General features: G+C 39.2%; 1 protein-coding gene across 11 annotated transcripts in view; it reads left to right on the forward strand.

Annotated features, from left to right (window-relative positions):
- The window catches only part of CYSLTR2 (cysteinyl leukotriene receptor 2), a 57,298-nt gene that overhangs the window by 23,982 nt on the left and 17,441 nt on the right, over window positions 1–15,875 (forward strand). For 3 of the 11 annotated variants that reach the window (NM_001308467.3, NM_020377.5, NM_001387012.1), the window contains exons 2-3: window positions 13,302–13,368; window positions 15,528–15,600. The exons of 2 other annotated variants lie outside the window; for them this stretch is intronic. The gene's annotated coding sequence lies outside the window, so the exon portion shown is untranslated. Of the gene's footprint in view, window positions 1–13,301; window positions 13,392–15,527; window positions 15,601–15,875 lie in introns of all 11 variants that reach the window. 6 more of the 11 variants (NM_001308465.3, NM_001308476.3, NM_001387014.1 and 3 more) reach the window with 4 other exon arrangements.

Below are 15,875 nucleotides of genomic sequence, written 5' to 3' on the forward strand. Positions count from 1 at the left end.
CAGGCTGGAGTGCAGTGGCGCAATCTTGGCTCACTGCTGCAACCTCCGCCTTCAGGGTTCAAGCTCTTCTCGTGCCTCAGCCTCCTGAGTATCTGGGATTACAGGCAAGCACCACCACATTTCTCCATACCAAGGAATTGGGGTTTCATCCTGAGGGCAGTGAGAGCCTCTGAAATGTGGAGAGGAGATCTGCATTTTAGAGAGGTGACACTGGCAGTAGATGAGGACAGTTTGGTGGAGGCAAGCCCAAGTACAGAGAGGCTAATTTTTGTATTTTTAGTAGAGATGAGGTTTCACCATGTTGGCAAGGCTGGTCTCAAACTCCTGGCCTCAAGTGATCTGCCCACCTCAGCCTCCCAAAGTGCTGGAATTACAGGCATGACCACCGGACTGGGTCCACCTGTTACTTTTTATTCCCATTGAACACTCACTTCTCCTTAAAGCAATCTTTTTCTCCTTAAAGCAAGTCTTGGCATTGTGTTCTTTACTCTCCTTGTATCATTTGGCCAGTCTTTCTCAATCATCATTCCAGCCTCTTCTCTCTGCCTGTCCCTTAATTGTTGGTGTTCCCCAGGGTTCTATCCTCCTTTGTTCTCACACCCCCGCTGTGCGAGCCTCTCCACTCCTCTGGCTTCAGTTACTATCACGTGCTGACAGCCTTACATTTATCAGGTTCACCTAGTTCCTCCTCCCCAGCTATACAGAGCAACAGGACAGCTCCATTTGCCTATTTCTTGAATGCCTCAAATCCAAAATGCCCCAAATTAAACTCCCCATTTCTTCAGCCCAATCAGCATCTTCTTCATAGGTTCCTTTTATTAATGAAAGGCACCACTTCCTTCCCCTAATACCTGAGAGGAACCTTGACTTCCCTTTTCCCTGACCCTCTATATTTAGTCCATCCACAGTCTGGTCAGTTCTCACTCCTTTATAGCTCTCAGTCCCATCCAGGTCTGTGCAGCCTCTCTGTTCTGCACAATCACAAGAGCACCCCTACTCACCTCTCTGTACTTGGGCTTGCCTCCACCAAACTGTCCTCATCTGCTGCCAGTGTCACCTCTCTAAAATGCAGATCTGCTCTCCACATTTCAGAGGCTCTCACTGCCCTCAGGATGAAATCCCAATTCCTTGGTATGGAGAAAGGCCCCTCTGGAAGCACTCTCTGCCCACCCATCCTCCTTGCATGCTTCACCTAGGCTCTACTATATTACTTACACTTCCCCAAACTTGCCATGTGCTCTCAACTTGGGGCCTTTGTAAATCGTTTTCCACTGCCCAGAGTCCCTGTCCCTCTCTCCTTAGTCAATCTCTCTCCCCCAGAACCTTAAAAAAACTCCCCTCATTCCCCAAGGCTGGTGTGGCCCCTCCCCTGCATTCTCATAGCACTCTTGAGGTTTCTTTCTGTGGGCCCTTCTTCCTCATAGAGCTTTGTCCTGTTGACTTGCTTGACCCATTCATCACCCCAGAGGTTCTTTTTGGTCTAAGATTATGTTTTCTTCACTGTCATATACACAGGGCTGAGTATATGTGGCACAGAGAAGCAGGGCAGTGTTTTGATTGAGCAGACAACTGGGTTCAAGCCACATCCTACCACTAACTTGCAAGGGAATTTGGGCACACAAGCTATTCCATGCCTGTGCACTTTGGTCTTCTTATCTATAAAATGATCAAATCAGAGTACCTAGAGCTGTTATCAAGTAAGAGTAGCAAGGATTGTTTGAGGACTAATTGAGTTAATAGCATAAGGAGCATAGCAGAGTGCCCGGCACAGAGTAACTGCAGTACAACTCACTGTTGCTGCCCCTTGTTGGATGAAGGAGCATCTGTGGCTTGAGGTTGGGGGAGCTGATAAAGGAAATGCCTTTCCCCGGAGCCCTTGGGCAGGTTTGGCCAAGACAGATGGCTTGAAGTGAGGAGCCATGAGAGTAGCAATCAGAAAGTCAAGAACCCCGATGCCAATTTACCAGAAGGGTTTCCAATGTGGGAGTTACAGGTGGCAGAGACAGTGGGCAAATAGTATACTCAGAAGGTCACTGAGTAGCAACTAGGGAGGCTTCCGCATGGCAGGTCTACCAGTTTTCCCCCTCTGTCTCAGGACTGCTCTACACAGAAGCCTACCATTATTTCCTTGTAAAGATGATGCAAAGTGCACCAACCTCTGTTCTCCAGGTTATTTGCACTGTAGCAATTTGCCACAAGGTCAGGGCAGCTCATTGTCTAATTGCACACTGCTTGCGGCTATTCTGGATTTGTTTGAGTCAATGTGTCTTCAGACTCTGCGGGCAGGACACAGATTCAAATCTGGGAACCAAAGGTGGGCAAACCCATCTGACCATAGTCAGTGTTGACGGAGAGGGGTTAGTGGGGGAGGAGTCTGTGCCAATGTCTAATGATCCCGTGAGAATCTATCAAAAGATGTATTTTTCTAAGTATAAATAAAAATAGCATCTGTGAAATCAGGAACAGTTGCAGCTTTGCTATCACTGTGACAACATTCTAAGCATCGACGTAAGCTATTCACCCTCATCAGACTTTAACTGGTCACGCAGCATGTTTCGTTTTCTTCCTAACTCAAATATGGAATCTCCATCTGCTGCTGCTGCTCCCTGTCCCTTCTTTGTTGTTTAATTACCAGCAAAGCTGCAGGAGATGAAGTCTTCATTCTGTATTTGTTCTGAATCCCCTTTCAGTACAGTAAGCTGTGCACATGCTCACTCCTCTCCCATTAAGGCCGTGGAAATTATGCTGCCAAATAATTTCCCAGTTTCCCTTGAATTTGCGTCTTCATATATTTCTCAGCTTCCTGTCGCATACTTCATTGGTCTGGCTAATTTTTATAGTCACATCTAGCAGACGATTTTCTTTTCTTTCTTTCTTTTCTTTTCTTTTCTTTTTTTTTTTTTTTTTTTTGCAGTCTAGTGAAATGTTGCAGTGTGGTGTAGTCAAATGTATTTTATATTGGCAGGAATGCACAATCAAAATATTTTAAAGGTTTCTCAAGAGAAAGTGTCGAACTAAATGGAATTTTGAATGTGGGCTGGCCCTGCTTTTTGCTGGTAGCCTTTAGCTATATGAGGTTTCTAGGAAGGATGTTTGTATATATATTTTTTTCCTTTAGCTTTCTGGGGAATAAGATGCTCTCAGTATCAATGCCTCTGGCTTCTGTGATTATACTCTCCCTACAACTGTGGCTGCTTGACAACCATCTATCACTCCCATTTCCCATTCCCATGTAGCCCCCTGTGGGGCCTAAAACCAACCCCAACCTAAAACCAACCCCAACCTCAAGCAGAGGAACTGAAACAATTCTAGAACTCAGTGTTGCCCTTGGCGTTGCTCTGATCTTGATCTTGTGCCTCAATTCTAACATTAAACTTCTCTTTTGTTCCTGAGATGTTGTTCCCAGTTCATTAGGGGAAACGGACCCTTGTCTTGGCGTTCTTGGTCTGAGTCTCTGCGCTCAAGGCTTTGTCTAATTCAGAATTCGGGACTCACAGCCCACCTGCACTAGTCATACCTCCTCCTAAGTCTAAAGTTTTCTCCTTGCACTGTGGCCTGGTAGTAAGTGCCTTGCTTCTTACAGATGGACTTCCCCAATGAGGTCTGCCTTCCTCCCCAGTTGCTTAAGAGGTCCTTATTGCTGGGGTCTGTTTTTGGTCTACCTGCTCCCCTCAAATCCATGGTGGACCACCTATTACTATTGTTTTTGGTGATCTCTTGTCTGTGGTCATGCCTGCCGGATTTCATGCCCTACCTTTGACAAGGAACTTACCCCAGCATCTGTAACTGACAGTGTCCCTGAGGGCCTGCTACATCCCAGCAAGGGAGGAGTCCAGGGCTTGGTCCTGCCTCTCTCGAGCTGCCCTCTCCCTGCAATTCACAGCCCTGTTGATCTTGAGATGGAACAAGCGGTGGTCTTCATGGTCAAAAAGTTAAGGACTTGATTGCTTTCAAATCTATTTCTACTTTTTCGGCCCCTTCTCTAACTTCTTAAACTGTAAGCTTTCCCTAAGATTCTAACAGAATCTTGGCTTTAAAGTTAGGTTCTTTAAGACTAAAGTAGGTTCTATATGGCCATGTGAAAAGGGCAAGACTGTCCTTTTCAATAAAAGGCCATTTGTAATGAAACCTTTATGTAAAAATTCCTCTGACTGATTCCATATCAGCCTTAGTTCTCATGCCTTGTCTCCTTGTGCCCTAGGCTCTGTGTGTTAACGCTGGTTCTAGTGCCCTGCCCATCCAGAGCTGACACATAATTGTGACATTAATCCCTCTCCACATTTGCTTTATTGACCTGGCTTGTGCAAGCTGCCTGTACCACCTCTAGTATTCCATTGGAGTACCTTCTGATTGTGCATTTAGTCCTGCTGTCCTGGCCCTGCCAACTGATAGAAAGTATAATTCACTGTAAGATTGAGTTAAGACACTCTCTCCAAGCTTCTAATTTTGTTGTATTCGCTTTCCTGAGTCAGGCTCACAGAGTTCCAGCCTCTATATGACTATTTCCCTGAATTATATCTGCCACCCTGACCTGTCTCCTTAGTTCTAAAGTATGTGCTCCCCATTCCAGCTAATGGCCTCACAATTCACCTTACAATCTAAGCTAGGAACCTCAGATTTGCTGTTGAGATCCATCAAAACGAGAGAGCCATTATCCATGTAATCAGAACTAAGGCCCCAGCAGTCAACTCAGAAATAGGTTTGGATGCTTAGCTCTGCACATGAGAAATTTCATCATATCAGTTCTTAAGAAATCAACTTACACCCATAGAACTCATAGGGAACTACACCCACAGAACTAATAGGGAACTAATTTTTTTTACCTTTTATTGTAGATTCAGGGGTACATGTGCAGGTTTGTTATATAGGTAAATTCGTGTCACAGGGATTTCTTGTATAGAGTATTTTGTCAGTCAAGTACTAAGCTTAGTACCCAATAACTATTTTTTCTGATTCTCTCCCTTCTCCCACCATCCACCCTCAAGTAGATGCCAGTGTCTGTTGTTCTTCTCTTTGTGTCCATCTGTTCTCATAATTTAGCTCCCACTTATAAGTGAGAACTTGTGGTATTTGGTTTTCTCTTCCTATGTAAGTTTGCTAAGGATAATGGCCCCCAGCTCCATCCGTGTTCCTGCAAAGGACACGATCTCATTCTTTTTTATGGTTACATAGTATTCCATGGTGTATATGTACCATATTTTCTTTATCCAGTCTACCATTGATGGGCATTTAGGTTGATTCCATGTCTTTGCTATTGTGAATAGTGCTGCAATGAACATATGGGTGCATGTGTCTTTATGATAAAATGATTTATATTCCTTTGGGTATATACCCAGTAGTGGAATTGCTGGGTCAAATGGTAGTTCTGTTTTTAGCTCTCTGAAGAATCCTCAGACAGCTTTCCACAATGTCTGAACAAATTTACACTCTCACAAACAGTGTATAAGCATTTTCTTTTCTCTGCAACCTTGCCAGCATCTGTTTTTCTTTGACTTTTTAATAATAGCCATTCTGACTGGTGTGAAATGTTATCTCATTTGTGTTTTTGATTTGCATTTATCTAATGATCAGTGATATTGAGCTTTTTTTTCATATGTTTATTGGCCACATGAATAATATGTCTTCTTTTGAAAAGTTTCTGTTCGTGTCCTTTGTCTACTTTTTAACGGAGTTTTTTTTTCTTATAGGTTGGTTTAAGTTCTTTATAGATGCTGGATATTAGACCTTTGTCAGATGCATAGCTTGCAAAAATTTTCTCCTATTCTGTAGGTTGTCTGTTTACTCTGTTGATAGTTTCTTTTGCTGTGCAGAAGCTTTTAAGTTTAATTACATCCTATTTATCAATTTTTGCTTTTGTTGCAATTGCTTTTGGCATTTTCATCATGAAATCTTTGCCAGACAGGGAACTAATTTTTAACCCAGAATTCTGTTTTGTAAATTTAGAGGATTATAATGGGGTATTCAACTTTCCTTTTATTGCATTCTTCCAGTTCATAATCCATAGTCACTTTTTAAAAAAATTATTTTACAGACAGTCTCACTCTGTCATCCAGACTGAAGTATAGTGGCATGAGCATACCTCATTGCCACCTCAAACTCCTGGGCTCAAGCAATCCTCTTGCCTCAGCCTCCTGAGTAGCCAGGACTATAGGTGCACACCACCATACCTGGCTAATTTTTTTAAATTACTTTTTGTAGAGATCGGGGGGGGTCTCACTATGTTGGCCAGGCTGATCTTGAACTCTGAGCCTCAAGTGATCCTCCCACCTTGGCCTCCCAAAATGCTGGGATGACAGGTCCATAGTCCCTCTTCCAGAGAAACTTCACTGACTGGATGAGTTATCAGGGGTTCCATGGAAGAAATAGGCTTTGAGTAAAGGAGTGGGGTAATCTTGAGAGATTCTCATTATGAACATGTCAGAGTAATCAGAGTAATCCATGTTTCTATAGAGAGATGGCATCAACTCTCACATTCCCATAAGGTATAAAAAGTAAACTCCTCTTGATGTCTTTCTAGCAAGCATCAAGAGGAGTTTACTTTTTATACCTTATGTGAATGTGAGAGTTTATGTCATCAGCTCATCCTTGGTAGCTAATGGGATGACAGGTGTTGAAGTTAGATCATCCCTACATTCATTCACAAAGCTGGAACAATGAGGGAGCACTTAGTGCCAAGTACCCTGTGAAGCACACACAGTGTCTCAACCTCTCATATAATACAACAACTCTATGAAATAGATGTTACGTATCCTTGTTGTGGTTGAGTTATGTACCCCCAAACAATATGTCCAAGTCCTAACCCCAGGTACCTGTGAAAGTGGCCTTATTTGGAAATAAGTTCTTTGCAGATGTAATGTTAAGAAGAAGTCATACTGGATATGGTGGACCCTAAGCCCAATATGACTAGTGTCCTTATAAGAAAAGGAGAAGACACAGAAACACAGAGAAAAGACAATGTGAAGAGACAGAAGGAAAATGCCAATAATGACAGAGTCAAGAGATTGGAGTCACATTCTGTAAGGCAAGAAGTGCCAAGGATTGCTGGTAAATACCTGAAGCTAGAAGAGACAAGGAGGGATTCTTCCCCAGAGCCTTCGAAGGAAGCACAGCCCTGCTGTATTAGTCCATTCTCACACTGCTATAAAGAAATACCTGAGACTGGGTAATTTATAAATAAAAGAGGTTTAATTGGCTCATGGTTCCATAGGCTGTACAGGAAGCATGGCGGCATCTGCTTCTGGGGAGGCCTCGGGGAGCTTTTACTCATGGTGGAAGGTGAAGCAGGAGCAGTTGTCTTACATGGCAGGAGCAGGAGGAAGAGAGAAGGGGGAGGTGCTATACACTTTTAAACACTCACGAGAACTCACTCACGAGAACTCACTCACTATCATGAGAACAGCACCGAGGGGACGGTGCTAAACCAATCACGTGAAATTGTTCCCATGATTCAATCACCTCCCACCAGGCCCCACCTCCAACACTGGAGATTACAATTGAACATAAGATTTGGGTGAACACAGATCCAAACCATATCCCCTGCTGACACCTTGATTACAGACTTCTGGCCTCCAGAACTGTCAGAGAATAAATTTCTGTTGTTTTAAGCTACCCTGTTTGTGATACTTTGTTAAGATAGCCCTAGGAAACTAGTACAACCTCCATTTTCCAAATGAAGTAAGGTATGCTTGGAAATGCTGATGTACCCAGTTGCAATTTCTTAGAGCTCCCTGACTGCAAACTCTTGAACTCATGTTCCTTTACTCCCTTGCTGGTTGATCTAGCCTATTAGGTGATAGTTCCCTTTCTCTTCTGTTAACATTATATTCTAGATAAATGACATCTTCTAGATAAATTACATAACAACATCATCATTCCCCCAAGTCTGATTATGCAGAACATTAGTTCTGTGAGATGTTAGACTGTGTTAGCATGCAAAAAAAGTTTTCAAGGTTAAAAAAAGAGAGGGAAATTCTGTGTATATCAGGCTTTTTGTTTGTTTGTTTTCTGTAGGACCTCATAGAAACTTCAAAATGTACTGTGACTCTCCAAGAGGGGCGTATTAGAGCTTGCCATGTTTCTCAGGTTAATTTGACCAAGAAAACTTTTCTTTTACAGAACATCTCATGGATTCGTGTTTAGTGGAAGATACTGTGGGAAGTGCTAACTTGAAGGATTAATAACTCTTTTCTTTTTTTTGACATCATTTACATGCCAACCATGTTTTTTGAGTATTATCTTCACATAGATTTCTAAAGAAGAATTGAAAAATATTCTTGCTGCATCAGAAATATGTTGACAAACCACCTTTTGGGGTAGGTTAAATTAACTACTGCTTTACCATACCTCTTTTATTCTTTAGATCATTATATGGATTCTCAGGGTCAAAGTCTTCTAGTCAAAGGCCATTAGAGACATGGCTGTAGTTAACAGAATTGGATTCATGGACTTCTTGCACACCATTGGAAATTGCAGTGTCTCAGGAAAGGGTGTTAGTCAGGAATTACATATATTATAAGATTTGTGCTCATGTTAGGTAATTTGAGGATAAGATTCCAGGAAGCAGGACTTTGCAGAAGCAAAAGTGGTTTTTAGTTCTTCTAATAGACTCTGAAAACAGGGACCCAGATTATCATACCCAAGCAATGAAAATATGTCCCGCAAAATCTGTGTGTTCTTTTCTAGATGTCCAATGGGCTTTCCTCCCACAGTCATGGGCTGCTCCGTAGTATTTATACAGGTGCAGCAAGAAGTGGTTAGCACAAATTTCTCTTTGGCTAGCTAAGAAGAGATTTAAGGCTATGTTATTATCCGTGACAACTTTGCCTTACAAATTTAAGTGTAAACCTAGGCTTCCAGAACAGAAGTAGTATAATTTATGACTTTTTTCAGGCTCAGAGACAAGTTTTAGATGATACTTTCCAGCTGTAATAGTCATTGCTTGCATAGTCAAGTCAACTTGACTGGATTAAGGAATACCTGGAGAACTTGTAAAGCATGACTTCTGCGTATGTCTGTGAGGGTGTTTCCAGAGGAGATTATTGTGTAAATCAGTGGACTGTGTGGGGAACTTCTGCTCTCAATGGATGGGCACTGTCTAATTGGCTTGGGGCCAGAATAGAGCAAAAAATAAGAAAAAGGGATTTGCTCTCTTGCTCCTGGAGCTGGGACATTCTTCTCCTTCTGCCCTTTGACATTAGAACTCCAGGCTCTCTGGCCTTAGGACTCTAGGGCTTTCACCAGTGGGCCCCCGGGTTCTCAGGCCTTCAAACTCAGCCTGAGAATTACACCTGGTTCTGAGGCCATCAAACAGGGACTGAGCCACACTGTTAGCATTCCAGGGTCTCTATCTTGCCGACGGCCTGTTGTGGGACTTCTCAGCCTCCATAACTGTGTGAGCCAATTCCCCTAATAAATCTCCTCTCATCTATCTATCTATCTATCTATTATCATCTATCTACTTATTATGTAGATGATTGATAGATGATAATTGGTAGATTATCATCTATCAATCATCTATGTATTATCTATCGATTATCATCTATCAATTATCCATCATCTATCAAATATTTATCATCTATCAATTATCTATAATCTATCATCTATCAATCATCTATTATCTATCAATTATCTATCATCTATCAATTATCTATCATCTATCTATCATCTATAATTCTATAATATCCTATTGGTTCTGTCTGTCTGGAGAACCCTAACTAAAACACATAGTATGCAACACAAGAATGCAGCCCTCCATCTGAAGAGTTCTCTCAAGTAGCCTGTGCTTGACTTTTTTGGAGATTTCTTTGCATTCTTTTTAGGGAAACATGATCCACTGGAGGGGTGGTAGTTTTAAACAACTGAAATTCTCTAACAATTTTCCTGAATATACAGTAAAGTTAGTGTGTGGCAGGTGGCCGTAAGCCTTATGTCCACATAAGAAGGACTGTCCTGATGAAGCAGAAACTGTATTAATATTGGCAATTTAAAAATTGTTAATTACAACAGGAATTTGCCTTTTTCTTTATTTGGTCGTGGTTGTGGGGGTGTGTCACTAGAGGTGGGAAAATCCCTTCAGTGAAGTCAAACAAGTCCTGCTAAGCAGGCTGGAGTGTCTCTGAAGTAACTGTTCTTACCCAGGATAGGCCCAATCTTTGTTCTCACTCCTCAAGGATCAGAGTTTGCTGATAGGCTTGTGAGGACCTCAGCAGATGTATTTTTCTGGAGTGCAATGGTGCAATCATGGCTAACAGTAGCCTCAACTTCCTGGGTTCAAGCAATCCTCCTGCCTCAGCTTCCCAAGTATCTGAGATTTCGTCTTTTTTATAGGGGTTCTTGTAGTGTCAAGATACCTCTTCTTCTTTTTTTTTAATTATACTTTTAAGTTATGGGCTACATGTGCAGGTTTGTTACATAGGTATGCAAAGGCCATGGTGGTTTGCTGCACCCATCAACCTGTCATCTACATTAGGTATTTCTCCTAAGGCTATCCGTCCTCTAGCCACCCACTGGCCAATAGGCCCTGATGTGTGATGTTCCCCTCCCTGTGTCCGTGTGTTCTCATTATTCAACTCCCACTTATGAGTGAGAAGATGTGGTGTTTGCTTTTCTGTTCCTGTGTTAGTTTGCTGAGAATGATGGTTTCCAGCTTCATCCACATCCCTGCAAATGTCGTGAACTCATCCTTTCTTATGGCTGCATAGTATTCCATGGCGTATATGTGCCACATTTTCTTTATCTAGTCTATCATTGATGGACATTTGGGTTGGTTCCAAGTCTTTGCTATTTTGAGTAGTGCTTCAATAAACATACTTGTGAATGTGTCTTTATAGTACAATGACTTATAATCCTTTGGGTGTATACCCAGTAATGGGATGGCTGGGTCAAAAGGTATTTCTGGTTCTAAATCCTTGAGGAATCGCCGCACTGCCTTCCACAATGGCTAAACTAATTTACACTCCCACCAACAGTGTAAAAGCATTCCTATTTCTCCACATCCTCTCCAGCATCTGTTGCTTCCTGACTTTTTAATGATCACCATTCTAACTGGCATGAGATGGTACCTCAATGTGGTTTTGATTTGCATGTTTCTAATGACCAGTGATGATGAGCTTTTCTTCATATGTTTGTTGGCCGCATAAATGTCTTCTTTTGAGAAGTGTCTGTTCATATCCTTTGCCCACTTTTGATGGGGTTGTTTGTTTATTCTCGTAAATTTGTTTAAGTTCCTTGTAGATTCTGGATATTAGCCCTTTGTCAGATGGATAAATTGCAAAAATTTTCTCCCATTCTGTAGGTTGCCTGTTCACTCTGATGATAGTTGCTTTTGCTGTGCAGAAGCTCTTTAGTTTAATTAGATCCCATTTGTCATTTTGGCTTTCGTTGCTCTTGCTTTGGTGTTTCAGTCATGAAGTCTTTGTCCATGCCTGTGTCCTGAATGTATTGCCTAGGTTTTCTTCTAGGGTTTTTATGATTTTAGATTTTACATTTAAGTCTTTAATCCATCTTGAGTTAATTTTTGTTTAATGTGTAAGGAAGGAGTCCAGGTTCAGTTTTCTGTATATGGCTAGCCAGTTTTTCCAACACCATTTATTAAGTAGGGAATTCTTTCCCCATTGCTTGTTTTTGTCAAGTTGTCAAAGATCAGATGGTTGTAGATGTGTGGTGTTATTTCTGAGGCCTCTGTTCTGTTCCATTGGTCTATATATCTGTTTTTGTGCCAGTACCACTCTGTTTTGGTTACTGTAGCTTTGTAGTATAGTTTGAAGTTAGGTAGCATGATGCCTCCAGCTTTGTTCTTTTTGCTTAGGATTGTCTTGGCTATATGGGCTCTTTTTTGGTTCCATATGAAATTTAAAGTAGTTTTTTTTCTAATTCTGCAAAGAAACTCAATAGTAGCTTGATGGGCATAGCACTGAATGTGTAAATTACTTTGGGCAGTATGGCCATTTTCATGATACTGATTCTTCCTATCCATGAGCATGGAATGTTTTTCCATTTGTTTGTGTCCTCTCTTATTTCCTTGAGCAGTGGTTTGTAGTTCTCCTTGAGGAGGTCCTTCACATCCCTTATAAGTTTTATTCCTAGGTATTTTATTCTCTTTGTAGCAATTGTGACTGGGAGTTCACTCATGATTTAGCTCTCTGCTTGTTTATTATTGGTGTATAGGAATGCTTGTAATTTTTGCACATTGATTTTGTATCCTGAGACTTTGCTGAATTTGCTTTGCTGAAGGAGTTTTTGGGCTGAGATGATGGGGTTTTGTAAATATACAGTCATGTCATCTGCAAACACAGACAATTTGACTTCCTCTCTTCCTATTTGGATACCCTTTATTTCTTTCTCTTGCCTGATTGTCCTGGCCAGAACGTCCAATACTATGTTGAATAGGAGTGGTGAGAGAGGGCATCCTTGTCTTATGTGTATTTTCAAAGGGAGTGCTCCCAGCTTTTGCCCATTCAGTATGATATTGGCTGTGGGTTTGTCATAAATAGCTCTTATTATTTTGAGATTATGTTTCATCAATATCTAGTTTATTGAGAGTTTTTAGCATAAAGGGGTGTTGAATTATATCAAAGGCCTTTTCTGCATCTATTAAGATATTCATGTGGTTTTTGTTATTGGTTCTGTTTCTGTGATGGATTACGTTTATTGATTTGCATATGTTGAACCAGTCTTGCATGCCAGGGCTGAAGCCAACTGGATCGTAATGTATAAGCTTTTTGATGTGCTGCTGGATTCAGTTTGCCACTATTTTATTGAGGATTTTTACATTGATGTTCATCAGGGAAATTGGCCTGAAATTTTCTTTTTTTGTTGTGTCTCTGTCAGGTTTTGGTATCAGGATGATACTGGCCTCATAAAATGAGTTAGGGAGGAGTCCCTCTTTTTCTATTGTTTGGAATAGATTCAGAAGGAATGGTACCAGCTCTTCTTTGTACCTCTGGTAGATATCGGCTGTGAATCCATCTGCTCCTGGGCTTTTTTTGGTTGGTAGGCTATTAATTACTGCCTCAATTTAAGAACTTGTTATTGGAGACCTCCTCTTTTGCAATGCATTTGGAATTCAGGACTAATCCCAAATCAAATGCCTATATCAGTGTATAAGTATTCTTTTTTTCTTTTGTCAGCTTGCAGGTCTGGATGAGGGCAATTTATTTTGCCATCTGAACTTATTTTATATCTAGGTAAAGCTTATATTACTTTTGAAATATAAGCTTTACCTAGACTTGCTATCACAAAGTCAGTGATAGCATATCCTACTAGGCAAATTTTACTTTTTGTTCGTTTGTTTGTTTTTTCAGTCTGAACCAACAACAAGCAAAGTTAAATTATGGATATCCAAGGGAGTCTATAGAAGGTCCATGCAAGGTATGGAGAGTTCCTCAACAGAGGTAATCAATCATCAGCTTCTTTTTCTACAGATGAAGGAAAGAGGGTCACTGGGTTTAGGGTGTTACAGTGATGAATGGTGATATTTGAAGGGAAACCAACAATATTTCCTAGGAGATTAAGTGACTAGCTGAAAAATTTTGAGTTACGTCTATCAATAAAACATCAGGGGAATTATTAGGTTTAGTGTAGACCCCAGAACTAGTTTGACAAAGTCACTCCAGCTTCCACAAGCTTTGCTGCAGCTTCTAGAACTCTTAGACAAGACAACTATGCTGTGACTACTAGAGCTAATGAAAGACTGAAATAAACAATAGATTTTTTGATGAGTCCCATGTCATTGAGTCAAAGCCCCTAGTGTTTGTTCAGACTTCTCATGACAAAAAAGAAAAGTGGGGTTGCTAATCGAGAATCTTGGAAAAAGATATTTTGATACACAGTTATTACAGTAATCTTTGTGCTTAAACATGAGCATTCTTTTTTTAACTCAAAAAAGGGTTTAATCCTTGAAAGATATTTATATTAGCATATTTTACTTAAATATAATTAACAGAAAAATAAAAATATTTTTATCAGCTTTTTATTAGTAAGTTTGGTAAATAAAAGAGCTCTCATAATAATTTTAAATTAATTTAAATTCAAAGGATATTGGAAAATCTAATTATTCCCATTGTCTTTCCTTTCATAGATGACAAAACAAATCTTGTGTTACCTAATAGCCATTACAGTAAACCCAAAGATAGTTTAGACACAAAAGACATATTAATAGCTTGATTATTCTGAATTTGGGTCCTGAATTTTGGAAAGAATCAAGAATAGTTGTTCCAGGAGACAAGATGTAAGTCATAAGTATCTAGGGTCCAGAAATAATTATAGATGACATTGTAAAAAAATTGCTATGTGTTAGCAATTAACAATAGTCACTAGAAACAACATTTTATTAAAGCAAGGAGTCTTTTAAAAATGATGTAAAAGTGTCAAAAGCACTGAAAGTTAACAGAATATTTTATTGACAAAAGAAATATTCACTAATATGGGCATAGCATAACTTAATTTTTGTATATTAAAAAGACTCCAATTCTAATTTTACTCTTTTTGTACATCATTCATGTAACATTCTACAGTACAGAATTTATTAATATGGCTTTACATGTATGCATTTAGGCATACACAGATATGTAAATATACAAATAGAAAATACATTTCAAATTTTACATTTTAACTGTAGCTTTAAAATTAAATCTATTAGATAAAATAATATGTATGTCAAAATAAAATTTACCCTCTGAATAAATGGTTTCAACTTTCCTAATAAACAGGAAATCAACAGGATATTTATTCTGTATACATATTTGTGTTTCTCTGTATTAAACATTTATATTAATTATCATCTTTAATCAAAGTAATCAACCTTCCTTTTCTTTAGGCAAGAAAGAAAAAGGAGAGAAAACATGATTTACTTAGATATTTTTTGGTCTACTAGCATTTATTTCATACAATTTAAACAGTTTCAATATATAAATATATGATGTCATTCAAAGGAATTTGCATGTTTTGTTAATCTATTGTCATTTTAAGAAATAAACATAATTGTATTTAATGATCAGTGTTTTTATGTTTATTTAGAAATTGTGTAGGCATCCAAAGGATTATTATCAATTAACCATTGTCTAAGTCCTTAAAGTTAGTTAAGGATCAGGAAATTACAATTTTAGTTAACAAATGAAACTTATAATTTGTAGCATTGTAAGAATTTTATAAAAATTATAAAGGCATTTATTATTATCATTCACTTTAGTTTAATACAATTTTATATATATTAAAATAAAATTCTAAATTTAGACAAGTTATAGAACTAGTGGAATCTTGTTGAACTCATACAACTAATGTAGAAAATTCAGTTTAACAAAAAAAAATTTAACTTTGGCCTTATAGAAACCAAAAGATTGGGCTGTCACTAGTTTTTGTATTAAAGTAATTTTTTGAAGACTCTGAATCATGCCAAACATGTAATCTTTTAACTTATATATAATGCCTTTTCTTTTCTCTTAATTATAATAAAGGCTACTATGTAAATATACTGTTTGTGCCCACAGAAAGAAACACAGTTTAATAACATTTTTTCCCCTTTTTTTCAGACATTTTGACTACTTGTCTGAACTAGATATCCCTTGAATGTGCACACAAAAAGTGAATGGGTCATTTGATAAGGTAACGATTAATTTCTGAAGACAGGGGAAAAGAGAGAAAGAGAGGAGGGGGAATAGAGGGAAAAAAAGAAAGAAAAGGGAGCCCGCTGCAGGTGAATAATAAATCAACACCAAAAAAAAAAAGGCTAATGATGTTCCCTCTGAAAAGAGAGGGAGGAAGGTTTATATGTAAAAGAATAGATTTTGGAATATAAAAAGAGTGACATTAAAATTGGTTTAAGCCCCTGGCGATTTTATCAATTAACTAGCACTTACTAATTCCTAAAGTATGGAAAT

Source organism: Homo sapiens, chromosome 13 (genome assembly GCF_000001405.40).
Source record: "Homo sapiens chromosome 13, GRCh38.p14 Primary Assembly".
Lineage (NCBI taxonomy): Eukaryota > Metazoa > Chordata > Mammalia > Primates > Hominidae > Homo > Homo sapiens.